This window comes from Homo sapiens, chromosome 15 (genome assembly GCF_000001405.40).
Source record: "Homo sapiens chromosome 15, GRCh38.p14 Primary Assembly".
Classification (NCBI taxonomy): Eukaryota; Metazoa; Chordata; class Mammalia; order Primates; family Hominidae; genus Homo; species Homo sapiens.
In genome coordinates this window covers 35,921,781-35,933,931 of record NC_000015.10, presented here as the reverse complement: position 1 = coordinate 35,933,931, position 12,151 = coordinate 35,921,781, and the positions used below count along the sequence as shown (strand labels likewise).

At 37.2% G+C, this 12,151-nt stretch overlaps 1 long non-coding RNA gene and 1 other non-coding gene across 3 annotated transcripts in view, besides 1 other annotated feature; both read right to left on the bottom strand.

The window, feature by feature from the left end:
* Window positions 1-12,151, bottom strand: part of LOC105370766 (uncharacterized) — a 56,276-nt gene that overhangs the window by 42,239 nt on the left and 1,886 nt on the right. The gene's annotated exons all lie outside the window — the stretch shown is intronic.
* Window positions 3,553-3,612: an enhancer, noted in NCBI's record as "active region_9192". NCBI's record gives its function as "activates an Ori minimal core promoter by ATAC-STARR-seq in GM12878 lymphoblastoid cells {active_cell/tissue: GM12878}" and the evidence as "EXISTENCE:reporter gene assay evidence [ECO:0000049][PMID:35858748]".
* On the bottom strand, window positions 7,009-7,076 carry MIR4510 (microRNA 4510). Its single transcript, NR_039735.1, has one exon. It is a non-coding gene; the product is annotated as a microRNA 4510 (primary transcript).

The following is a 12,151-nucleotide window of genomic DNA, read 5'->3' as shown; positions in this document are numbered from 1 at the left end:
ATATAAGAGATCATATTATACCTCTGCTCAAAACTCTATAATGGTTTCCCATCTCAGTCAGAATCAAAGCCAAAGCATTCACAATAGCCAACAAGGCCCTGGATGATCTGGCTCACTCTTCACGTCCTGCTAATTTCTTCCTCATTCTGCTCTAACCTCACTGCTCTTCTTCCCTTTCTCAAACGTGCCAGGCATTTTCCAGCTTCAGGGCCTTTTCACATGCTGTTCATTCCTTCTACCACACTTTTCCTTAGATATTCACATGACTCACTTTATCTTCTTTATACAAGTGTCGTCTCATTAAGGCCTTTACAGGCCACCAATTCAAAACTGTAGTGCCACCATCCCTGTCATCTGCTTCAGTTTCTCAATAACACTGACAACCATTCATACTTTTAATATTTTAAATGATCACCTGTTTAATATATTCTACCCCGCCTTACACTATCACCACTGGAATACAAACTCCGTGAGCACAAGGATTTGGATCTGTGTTCTGTGTCTACTGATGCAACCTCTAGAACAGTTTGAGTGCCTGGAAAATAAATGAATAAGCAAATAAGGAATTAAATCTACATTTCTCAGACACATAATTTTAACTAGACATTTGATATCTCATATGGCTGCCCACTGCTGTCTGAGAGAGAGATCCACAGCCAAACTCACCATTTCACTCACAAGCTCAAACCCCAGTTCTACAAATTATCTGTTAAGAAAGTGCACTGGGTCCTTGCTATCTTTTCCTATGAAATAGGGATAAAATTCCCTACTCTCAACATTTGTTCTTTCCCTGACTTCAATCTCTGCTTTGCTTTTTATTCCACCTACATAAGTACTCATTTGCAGTCTCTTGCTGGATGGTATTCCTCTTCTGAATGTCCATTATATGACAATATTTCCTGCTTATCCTTGTAAGCTGTGTTCAGACCTCTCCTCCATAGTCCTTCACTGCTGACTCCCCTTACCCTACTGCTCCACTCCCACATATCTTGCTACAGACTGAATGTTTCTGTCTCCCCAAAATTCATGTTAAAACCTTAATTCCCAGTGTGATGGTATTTGGAAATGGAGCCTGTGGGAGGTAATTAGAATCAGATAAGGTCATGATGGTGGAGCCCCGGTGATGGAATTAGATCCCTGATAAGGCAGTGCGAGGAACAGAGCTCTTTCTCTCTGCTGTGTGTTGATTCAGAGAGCAGACAGCCATCTGTGAACCAGGAGGAGGGCCCTAACCAAGAACTCAATCATGCTGACATGCTCATCGCAGACTTCAGCCTCCAGAACTGTGAGAAATAAATGTCTCTTGTTCAAGCCATCCTGTCTATGGTATTCTGTTACAGTAACTCAAACTGACTAAGGCATATCCGCACACGCCAGCTCAGCACCCTGGCCAGGCACTAACATTGTACTTACCACATTGTATTAAGAACATCTTTTACTGCTCAATTTCCCCTATAGAATATAAAATGCCCAAGGACAGGAGGCACATCTTTTAATCTTAATCTTTGGAGTCCCAGGGTCCTGGCAGAGGAACAGACCCATGTTAGGTGCTCAACAAATTATTACTGAACGATGAATGAATGCATGAATGGATGAATGAATAAACGAAGTAATATCACAAAGAATATTGGAAGTAATGACAATGTTTTCTTACATACTTTGAGTTTTGCATATTTTTACTGGAGCACTTAATAATATAGCTTACAGATGAAAAGTCACAGATTTGTGATCACTTAAAACATGTCTCCACTACTAAGCTAGTGAGAAAGCAAATAAACTAACTTAGTTTGACCTGAAATTATCCAGTGAAACTCTTATGTCAATATTTTGCAACTTTTTGGATAAAGTGGCCTCATGACTGTCACAGAAAATTGATAGTGAATGTAAAAATATAATGCAGGAAAAATTGTCGTCTCTTGTGTTTCTGCTGTAAAGAGAGTTTAAGGAGGTCTTGGACCCTGGCCAATGGCTGTAGAATTATTTACTTTCCCCCATTTGCTTTTCTTCCCTCTATATTTCACTTGACAAAGCCCAATGTTTAATCACATTACCTTCATTAACTGTATTTTCATTAAAATGACAGAGTTGAAAAGAGATAATAGTCTTAGAAATATGCTGCTCTTCCATAATCCATATTGCCACCTGTGGAAATCTTACAGGAAAGCTATTAAGAATGGAGTCTGATGCTGTGGCAGTAAAACTCACGGTATGTACTTATTAGGTTTGTTCTTTATGTTGCCTTCGAAAACTATATTCTGTTCTTTGAATATTACCATTAACTTTCATAATGTGCAGCCTTCATGTATATATGGTTTTAAAGAGTAACATAAAAATATAGATGTATAAATCAAGGACAAAAAAGTTAATTGGAATTCCATTATTAAAAAAGAAGATAAAAAGATAGCTCCCCCATTATTTTATATAAATAGCATACCAATATGATTTAGGGAAAGCTTACATTTATTGACCATGCTTATCACTGTATTAATAAGTATACTGTGATTATACATTTCTCCCTCCATGGTGTTAGATGCAGAGGTTTTGCCTTGACTTCATTCATTGGCTTTGGGTTTTTTGTTTAGTTGAATTTAAGAGACTCCTTTGAGGAAGAACGCTTAAACAACAAATTTGATGTTTATGTATTGCTTTGAAATATTGAGATTAAGTTGCCTTAAGAATCTGAAGATGTCCTCTAACTTTTGTCTGTATCATGTAAAAAATGAGTTGGATGAAAAATAAAGAAACTATAATGTGCCATTTATATAATGATAAGAATTATTTCCAAAGATGATTCTTCTAATTTTTGAGTGGCATTAGCTGTCTAGGCAAGGCCAAGGGCATTAATTATAGAGAAGATGCTAGGGTGGAATACTTATGTACCTTTCATTGTTATAGAACTTCATTTGGGAGTTAATATCAGTGCTGTCTCCAATACCATTCATCTGACACTTGGTAAATGAGTTGTCAGTAAAGAAGAAAATATATTAATAGTTCAGATCAGTTGAAATGGGTGCTCTTATGTGTTTTACCAGAAAATTCCCCCTTCAGTTAACTCAATATCTTTTCTGACACATTTTTGTTGCACTAAAGTGTCTTTTATGGTGTGTCAGAGTTATGAATACTGATAGACCTTCTCTTAAAGTGCCCCTCAAGTTCACTGCCATTTGCTCATTAGGTTTGCTTTTTATTGCATGTCAGAATGTGCCTCCTTTTACGCACCTACTAATAAATGGGAATTGATGAGAACTGTGTCTCCAGAGCAGGCGGTAAATTCAAAGGTCTTAAATGAGGAAGTCTGTGAAGCATCCAAGACCGGGGCATGTGCCTGTGGATCTTGATCTGGCATATGGGGCATAGCTTATTTGATGTTAAGATTGAAGAGGCACACTTTCCTAAGCAGTACTTGAAGTTCAGAAATGGAAACAGTCCATTTCCCCATTGATCAAAGGACAGAAAAAGCTATCTTTTTAGAGATGTCTCCAGACTCATTTTCAATTGAAATTTATTTATGTAAGTCACACAAATAGTAGCTTTGCAGGAAGTGTTAGTATACTATTTAGAACTCTACCATAAAATTTGTAAGGTGAAGGGGTCAGAGGTAGATGAAGATGTAGCAACAAAGAAAACGATGGTGGTTACTACCTAGCAGTGGAGTCAGGGGACTGGTATGTATAATCACTGGGTCATTTGCAGAATGTGAAGATGAAACTATAGCTGAGGAGGCAAAGGGATGGGAGAAGAGAGCAATGCCTCTGTGTCAGGTAGAGTTCTCTGTTTGGCTGAGCACAGTCTGGAAACCCAACCCTGTGCTGCCAAGCTCTGGGAATCATCTGACCACCATCAGCATCTTCAGAAGGCAGCTCTTTAGTTCATGGAGATTTGCTGAAATGGCCTTGGTAAGCACCTATGATCATGGGAAAATATGTGAATTAGGTTTGCTGATGAAATGAGATATAGAAAGACACGTGTTATATGAGTTTCAACTGTGGCAAGGAATAGCTTGCTGACTCAAAAAGAAGGCAGAAAATCAATCAGCCAGAAAGTCGCAACTACCCAACAACGATCCACTAGAAAGAGAAGGGAACCCAGAACCCTTTCAGAAATTTCAAATTAGTGTTTCTCAATTATTTGTCTATTACTTTTATGGTTTGGTTCATATCCACAAAGTATTATTAATTTAACATTTTTATTTAAATTAGCCTTACCCTGTATAACAATATATGTGATATACTAGTTTTATATTTTCTAATATATACTAAAATAAACACATAACTATGAAAATTAAAAATTTAGTAACCCCTGGTCTACCTTAAATCTTCTCATGTTCTGCCACTGGGACAACTTCTGTGCTTTGGGGACGCTACGCTAAATGAAAAGAGCAAAATGTCTCTCACATATTTTGGAGAGGACCAGACCAGCAGGTTCTGGGGAAGGGATTTAATATTATTTGTTTGTAGTTTAGACCCTGCCTGCTTCCAAGAAGATTTAGAAATTATCACATGTATACAATAAGGCTGTTAAAGTAAAAAATGTATAAATATCAGAACCCTGCAGAAGAGGAAGCAAATATAATGTCCCTCCAGGCTGAAATAGTTACCAGGTTGAGTATTAAATTTAGCTCTGTGCTTTCTGGAAAGGTCAACATTATATCTAACTTGCTCTTGGGCTTTATGACCTCTGTTGAGCCTTGTTACCTAAGGGAGATACCCATATGGAAAAACACAGCATTCTTTTTCTATGTTAAGAAGTGTTGAAGTTTCCTAGAATTTCTGTTGAAAATTCCACATACCCAGACATCAGTTTCAAACCTGACAGGTTTTGCTAATAGGAAGAGTGGGAGAGCTGGATCTGTCAAGGTAAGCAGTACGTATGAGAGTCAGTGAGGCTTGAAGTAGAGGCTTGCTTGGCAGAGGTGAGAGTGCATCTGAGGCTCGATGTCATGAATCTGTGGGCAGTCACAACTGCTAACTCCTGTCTAGTGCTGTGTTCCAGTTGTCTACTGCTGTCTAACAAACCACCTTAAAACTTCAGGCAATTAAGACAAAACTTATTTAATATTTCTTAAGGCCAGGGGGTTGATTGTGCCCAACTGGTTGGTTTTCACCTGAGGTCTCTCAAGCACTTACAGGCAGCTGTCATCTAGGCCTGCAGTCACCCAAAAGCTCAGCTGGGCTAGAAGTTCAATATGGTACGCTTACATGTCTGGTAGTTGATACTAGCTGTCAGTTTTTGAAAGCTTAGCTAGGCTGGAGCAGCTAATCACGGCTTTGTTGTATGGTTCCTGCTTCTCACTGCAGAGACTGGGTTCTTGGAAGAAATGTCCTATGAGCAAATATTCCAAAATGTAGGGATCAGGAGTTGCTGGGCTACTTAAGGGCCATATGCAGAACCTCAGTTGTATATTATTGAATAGAGCAATCACATGGCCTACTCAGATTCAAAGTGGTTGGAAAAATAAACTTCTAATGGTGTAAGGACAAAATCACAATGAAGAAGAGTGTGTAAAGTAGCAAATTATATTGTGACCATCTTTGGAAAATATGATCTATCACATCCTCCAAGAGCTCTCTGTACTCTGGAATCAAAGCAGATATAAAGAATACAAATAAGTATTTTGGGAATATTATTTAAGGCATGGTATAAAGTTATGTAAGCACTGAACTGTAAGATGTAGTGACTTTGACATGTAAAGAAATTGATTATTTAATTGTGAGGACAGGAAAGAGCTCTAGACCAAAATTCTCCTTCTGGCTGTATATTTTATTAGCTATGTAGCCTTGGGATAGTAACTGGGCCTTCTAACTGTGTCTATATAACAAGAGGTCTGGATTGGATAATCTGTAAGAGACATTATCATTCTTAATAACTAGGAAACCATGGGCTTGATGCCTATTTGCTTACTGCGGGTCAGGGAGAATAATATGGTGAATGAATTGCTTATAAATCAAAATAACACATTTTGAACAGGGTTTGCTTTTCTGGGAATCAATAATTGACATTAAATACTGTAGAGAAAGTTATTGATGACATTGATTGTTAGATTAGTCCTTTGGCTCTAGAGTCAAAGGAAGGCATTTCCTAATGATCTTCTATAATATACAAACTTTAAGTTTCTTTTCTATGTATTTCACTCTAATGTGAACTCAAATAATCTCTGACCTGCTAACAGATGTGGAAGCTGACAAATTTATTTGTAAGCAGAATAATTACCTCTTAATATTGATTTGTAAATCCATGTTGCCATTCATTGAATTTCTCCAAGTAGAAACAAGATATATCCAGGTCTACGACTGTGGATGGCTACATGTGGATCCCTACTTAATATTGAATGAGACAATGCATATCTGTCACAAGGTAATATATGATAGCTGTATCTAATTGCATATAAAAGAGGACCAAGCCAATTGACATCTCTCTGCTCTCAAGAAAACAATGTGAGCAGGACATAGATGTGTCTTGTGTTCCACACAGGGGGATTTTGGAGTTGTGGTAAATGAGATGGATTCTCTCCAGCGAACAAACCAAGAAAGGGTTGGAAAACAATATAAAATGGTCAGACATCTTCTGGATAGAGATTGTAGCGGAGTTTAGCATAGGATATGAGCCTTGCTAGGTTTTTCTATAATGACAAGTTTAAACAGGACCAATTTGCATTTTTATAAACAGCAATCACTTCCTAGAATTCTAGGGTTTCCCAAATCAAACTCCTGAATGTCAGTCTCTCCCACTTCAGTCATGGGTAACTGCCCTCTCTCTGAGCATTACCCCTCATTTATCTTAAGGAAAATGATAGACCAGTTTGTAGCATATCCTAAATTCTCTACTTAAATTGTGCTGCAATAGACACACAATGAGACACCATCAACTAAGCAACCACTGAATGACTATTACATACAAGACACTGTATTGGAGGCTATCAAAGGGTATATTCATTCATTCATTCTTCTTCTTTTTTTTTTTTTTTGCTTATTCCATGAACATTTCTGAGTGCCTACTTAATGACAGGCTCTGTCTGTTGTGAGAAAAGATTGTAGTTGTCTATCTAACAACCATACATCCTACTCCCTCACATACACACTATTCCACAGAGGCAACCTGGTATTCATCTTAAAGGCAACAACTCTGGGGCCAGATCACCTGAGTTACAACCCTGCTGTCACTACTGAATAACAGTGTGACCTTAATTAATTAATTAATTAATTAATTAATTAATTTATTTATTTAATACAAGGTTATCTTGCTGTCTCACCAAGGGTGAAGTGCTTTGGCATGTCCATAGCTCACTGCACCCTCAAACTCTTGGGTTCGAAGGATCCTCCAGGTTCAGCCTCTTGAGTAGCTAGAACTACAGGTCCACACAATCACACCTGGTTAATTTTTAATTTTTTTTGTAGATATGGGGTTTCACTATGTTGCCCAGGATGGACTCAAACTCCTGGCCTCAACCCATCTTCCCACCACTGCCTCCCAAAGTACTGGGATTATAGGCATGAGCCGCTGTGCCTGGCCCTTAAGTTACTTAATATCTTGATAAGTTATAGATAATAACCACCTCATATAATTTTTGTATTAAATGATTTAATACACATTTCTATATCTCTTTATGTATGTTTAATAACTCTTAGAATAGTGCCTCCCTTGTTGTAAGTGCTGTGTAAGAGTTGATTTTGTTCAAGTCTTGGTAGGCCATATCCTTCAAAGGAGACTAAGTCCCTTCTCAGCTGAAGGTGCATATCAACTCTGGTTGAAATGACTCATGTAAATTCCATTCTCTTGTCCATGATGTAATGTCATTCTGTCCAGTAAAATGTGAGGGGAAGTCTGGGGTGGATTTCTAGTACAGTTTTTCTGACTTTTATGAAAGAACATAAGGAAGAGATGGTCTATCTTCTCACCTCTGGAAGTTATTGTTGAGGATATAAGGTTGGAGTAACTTGGGGATGTGAGGGGCCACGTAAGGACAAACACGAACATTCCAAAGATGGCAGAACAAAATGTGGAAATGAAATGGATCCCTGAGCCATTCATTGAGCCCTTGAAGTCAGTGATCTTGGAACATACAACAGGACTTGTCAGACAATAAAGATAACAAAGCCCTCATTGTATGAGTCATTTTGCTTGTTTTCTGTTACTTGCTGGTGAGGTCATCAGGTGAACTGACACATCGTTCTTCCCTGATCATGAGGATTCATGGTATCATTAAAATTTCTTTTTTATTTAAACAAATATGAGAAACGAAACACGCTCAGACTTTCTAGTAAGGAAAAACAAAAGCCCACCTCAGAGGACGAATAAGCAAGCCATTTACCCTAATTCAGGTGTGTGGTATTTATTTTAATATGTATAAAAATTACAATAGATACAAGTGTAAAATGGTGTGAGATTGATTTCATCAGTCTTGTCACATAAGAAGAATAAACCTCTGGGTCACTCTCCGCTGCACGATGGCATAATAAATAAGGAAAACATGGTCATGACTCCTTCTCTATGAGAGATGCGATAGTTGATTAAGTGCAATCTATTAGTAGCTGCCAGTAACAAGAAAGGTTAATTTAAACCAGATAGTCTCAGGTTTCAACCTCTTCTATGGCTGCAAATCTGGATAGGTGTCCTTTGCTTACTGGTTCAAGCTACTGACAGGCAGACCTGAAATGGTTTTGGCTTCTGTCTGTGGCCCCAGAGCCAGGCAATCCAATAACAGTCTTTTCCCTTTAACTCTCAAACATAGGGATGATAGTGGCTTTTTGCTACTGTAATGTCTGGGTTGCCTTATTATCATTTGTTTGGCTTCTCAGCACCTCCCTCTATTAAAATTCCTCCTATCTGGAGTGACTATTGTTGTCCTGATTGATACGCTATCCTTGGTTTTATTCTGAACTATGGAAATCATAGACATTAGTTGTAACATCCAAGACTCAACCTTGACTTCTCCCAGTGATCCTACCTTTCCAATCATTGGTGATCATACCATCTTCAGTTGTATTTCAGAGGGGACTTACATGCCCCTGATTGCATGTATTCCCCAGACAAGGTCAACCTGGTTGAAACACAGCCTCAGTCTAGTATATCAATGTGTAATTAGTTCATTGTTTCATTTGACCTATGAATAACTATGACCAAGAGGGTATCAGAATTTATACAAAGCCATGTTATTATGGAATTCTAATATAGTTTGCTTTGCTATATATGATGGTGTTTTCATGAGGAGACTTTCATATATAAATAATAGAGAAAACTTGTAACATGGACTGTCCCACATAAGCAAAGCCACAACAAAAAACACATGAAAAGAACTATTGAAGGGCGAATGGTGGGTAATAAAGTAATGGAAATTATGCAATAAGACACTAGAGAGCCAGATAAATCTAAATCTCTAACAAGTCATGCAGGGTCTTAAGGTTGCAGCCCATGGCAGTGGAGAATTTTTGGGTGGACCTCACTCTGCTGTGCCTGCAGAGGGGTTGCCCTGGCTTTCTATCTTCCTTACTGAGAAGAATTTTCAGCAGTTCAATAGAAAACATTTACTGGGGAAAGGTGATATTTTACATAATGATTTTCCTGCCTTTGATTCCGCACATGTTGTTTTGTCTTTGAAATGTGCTAAAAGATGTATGTAAGCTGTCTGGCACTTTGTGCTTTTACAACCTGTGTTGTTTCAAATCCACAGCAAGGCAATTTTAAGTATTTGGGGTAGCACTTTCTTATGTCTGTTCTTTCTTTCTCCAGGCAGATGAGCTCATCAGACACTATTAGCCCTAGCTATAGAAGTTTAGAGGTAAACCACTGTCTGAACTGAACTAGTAAAACTGCTCTAAGCTGCAGTTTCCCTGAAAGTAAAGTATTAACTATCTATCATGTACTATGATGGATGAAGCCCATTAGATAAAGAAAAAGTCTGTTTTATTGGTTGAAAAATAATTAATCTTTACGAAGGTGATAAGCCTCATTTTACTCTTCATATTTGGAAGGATCTCGTGTCTTGAGCTTTGGCATGAGCATGCTGAGATGGCTGAGTGCAAGAACCACAGATGCTTAAGAGGATATGATGGAAACTTCTAGGTTTGTTACTAAACCAATTCTCTAACTTTTAAAGTGACACAATAAGAATAACGGGGTTAAGATGTGTTCTGAATTTTCTGTAGGAACATGTACACAAAATCAGATTCTGCTCTACAATGTAACAATTTTAGCAACTTCTTGAAATACCTCTATTTGTACCATTATGGTTTGGTACCCAAGTTAAAAGTCTCTGCATATCAGAAGGATGTCACTTATGGGAAAGAAGAAAGAAAAGTTTACTTTCTAGAGTATATTATTTTGGAAACACAATGTATTGTTTACGTGTAATAAAAATATAATGGTAACATTCAAACATGTTCATATCACCTCGTTGTATTTTTAAACTATAATTTTTGGCAATCATCAAGGAAGAAGAGACAATAGGGTGCATTTTAATTACAAAACAAACAAAACAATTCTCCCAGGCATTTCTGATGCAAAAGAGTTTGAGGATGTATGTCTTGGCAGGTCCAAAAATCAAAATGCAATTATTCTTTATATTTGGTTTTGTATTTTACCAGTGATAATGTAACAATTTTACCCACATATAGAACATAAGTAAATTATGCTACAGGTCTTGCAAAGCAGTACATTATTTTGCATCCACAGAGCTAGGTTCACACAACTTCTGCTTACTAGTTGTGTGACTTCTAATAAATATTTAATCTCTATGACTACCTTTTCATCTGAACAATGGAGATAATACCTATCTCGTAAGATTGTTTGAGTAGTCAAATGAGATAATGTAAGGAAAATGATAACTCACAGTTAATGCTTACTTACAATTCTCATCTAGATGTAATTTCCCTTTTTTTATCTTAATACAGAAATCTGAACACTATGGTTTAAACAATGTTCTCTGAAACATATAATTGCAAAAAGTAAAATCAAGGGTACCACCAGCCTAGAAATTAAGGATTTGGTAATTATTCCTTCTCCTGCCCTAATCATTCAGTTATTGCATTACACAAAACTTCCCAAATGTCCTACATGTCCATGATTACAACTTCCTTAGGACTTTTATTAACAAAGGTAGTGCACAGAACAATGCTAATTTTAATGTTCAACCAAGGCAGTAACCAAAAAACAGAATTCCTATTCCTTTGTTTCCTGGACATTATGTCCTGTAGTAACATAAAATGTCATCATATAGGTAATTGCCTATCCAGCTCTGCATAAGACTGGCTTTGAACCTGTGTAAGTGTATACAACTAAATTTGTCTAATCCTTCCTGATCTTGCTCTGATAGGCTGAAACCAGGTTGACCGTGCATGTGTGAATGGCTATACCGTATTGTGCCTTAGGGCACTGTGGTGGAGGTTGCTTGTACATAAAGAAAGGAATTACCTGAAATAGTGCAAATGGATTGTGAAAAATATTGGAATCACAAGATTTCAAACCCTTACTCATTTATTTACACAGCCAAAATCATAGATATTTGTTATTTCTAAAATAAGTAATGAGCAGACAGATGAAGAGAGGGGACTTCTAGAATATTTCTATACTTTTCTGAGCTTACTAATACAAATATCCTGGCCTTCTCATCTATAAATACCATCTTGCAGAAGTTCCATCTCTCTCCTGAGCTATAACTAAAAATTATAAAAGTTGTCATTGAGGCTTCCAACTTTGCCTGTCACCCTTTGGTTTCGTTATTCTTTTTGCTGTCTTAAGTTTCACGGGTAAAATAGAAAGATGCATCTCTAGAGCTTTTGATCTTAAAATTCCAAGGAAATACTAGTAAATTGCTTTATCATTTTGGGGGAATAGTAATACCACTGATGTAGTAACCATGAATAGAATAATTTATGACAAATATTGTCGATAATAAGAAATTTTAAGTTTACTCCTCCACAATATCTCATCCTGATGTGGTATCTTCATGATGACAATATTAATAATACATAAACATTTTTACTTTGTTTTGCTGATATATTTATATATAAATGTATGTATGTATGTAGTTATGCTTTACTAAGGAGAGGGGCAGGGGATATATGAGAAGAGAATCTGCTAATCAAAGGGCTCTACGTGATACCAAGTTAACAGTCTACCTGGTCTTCCCTATCTACTCCCCATACTCCAACTTAAC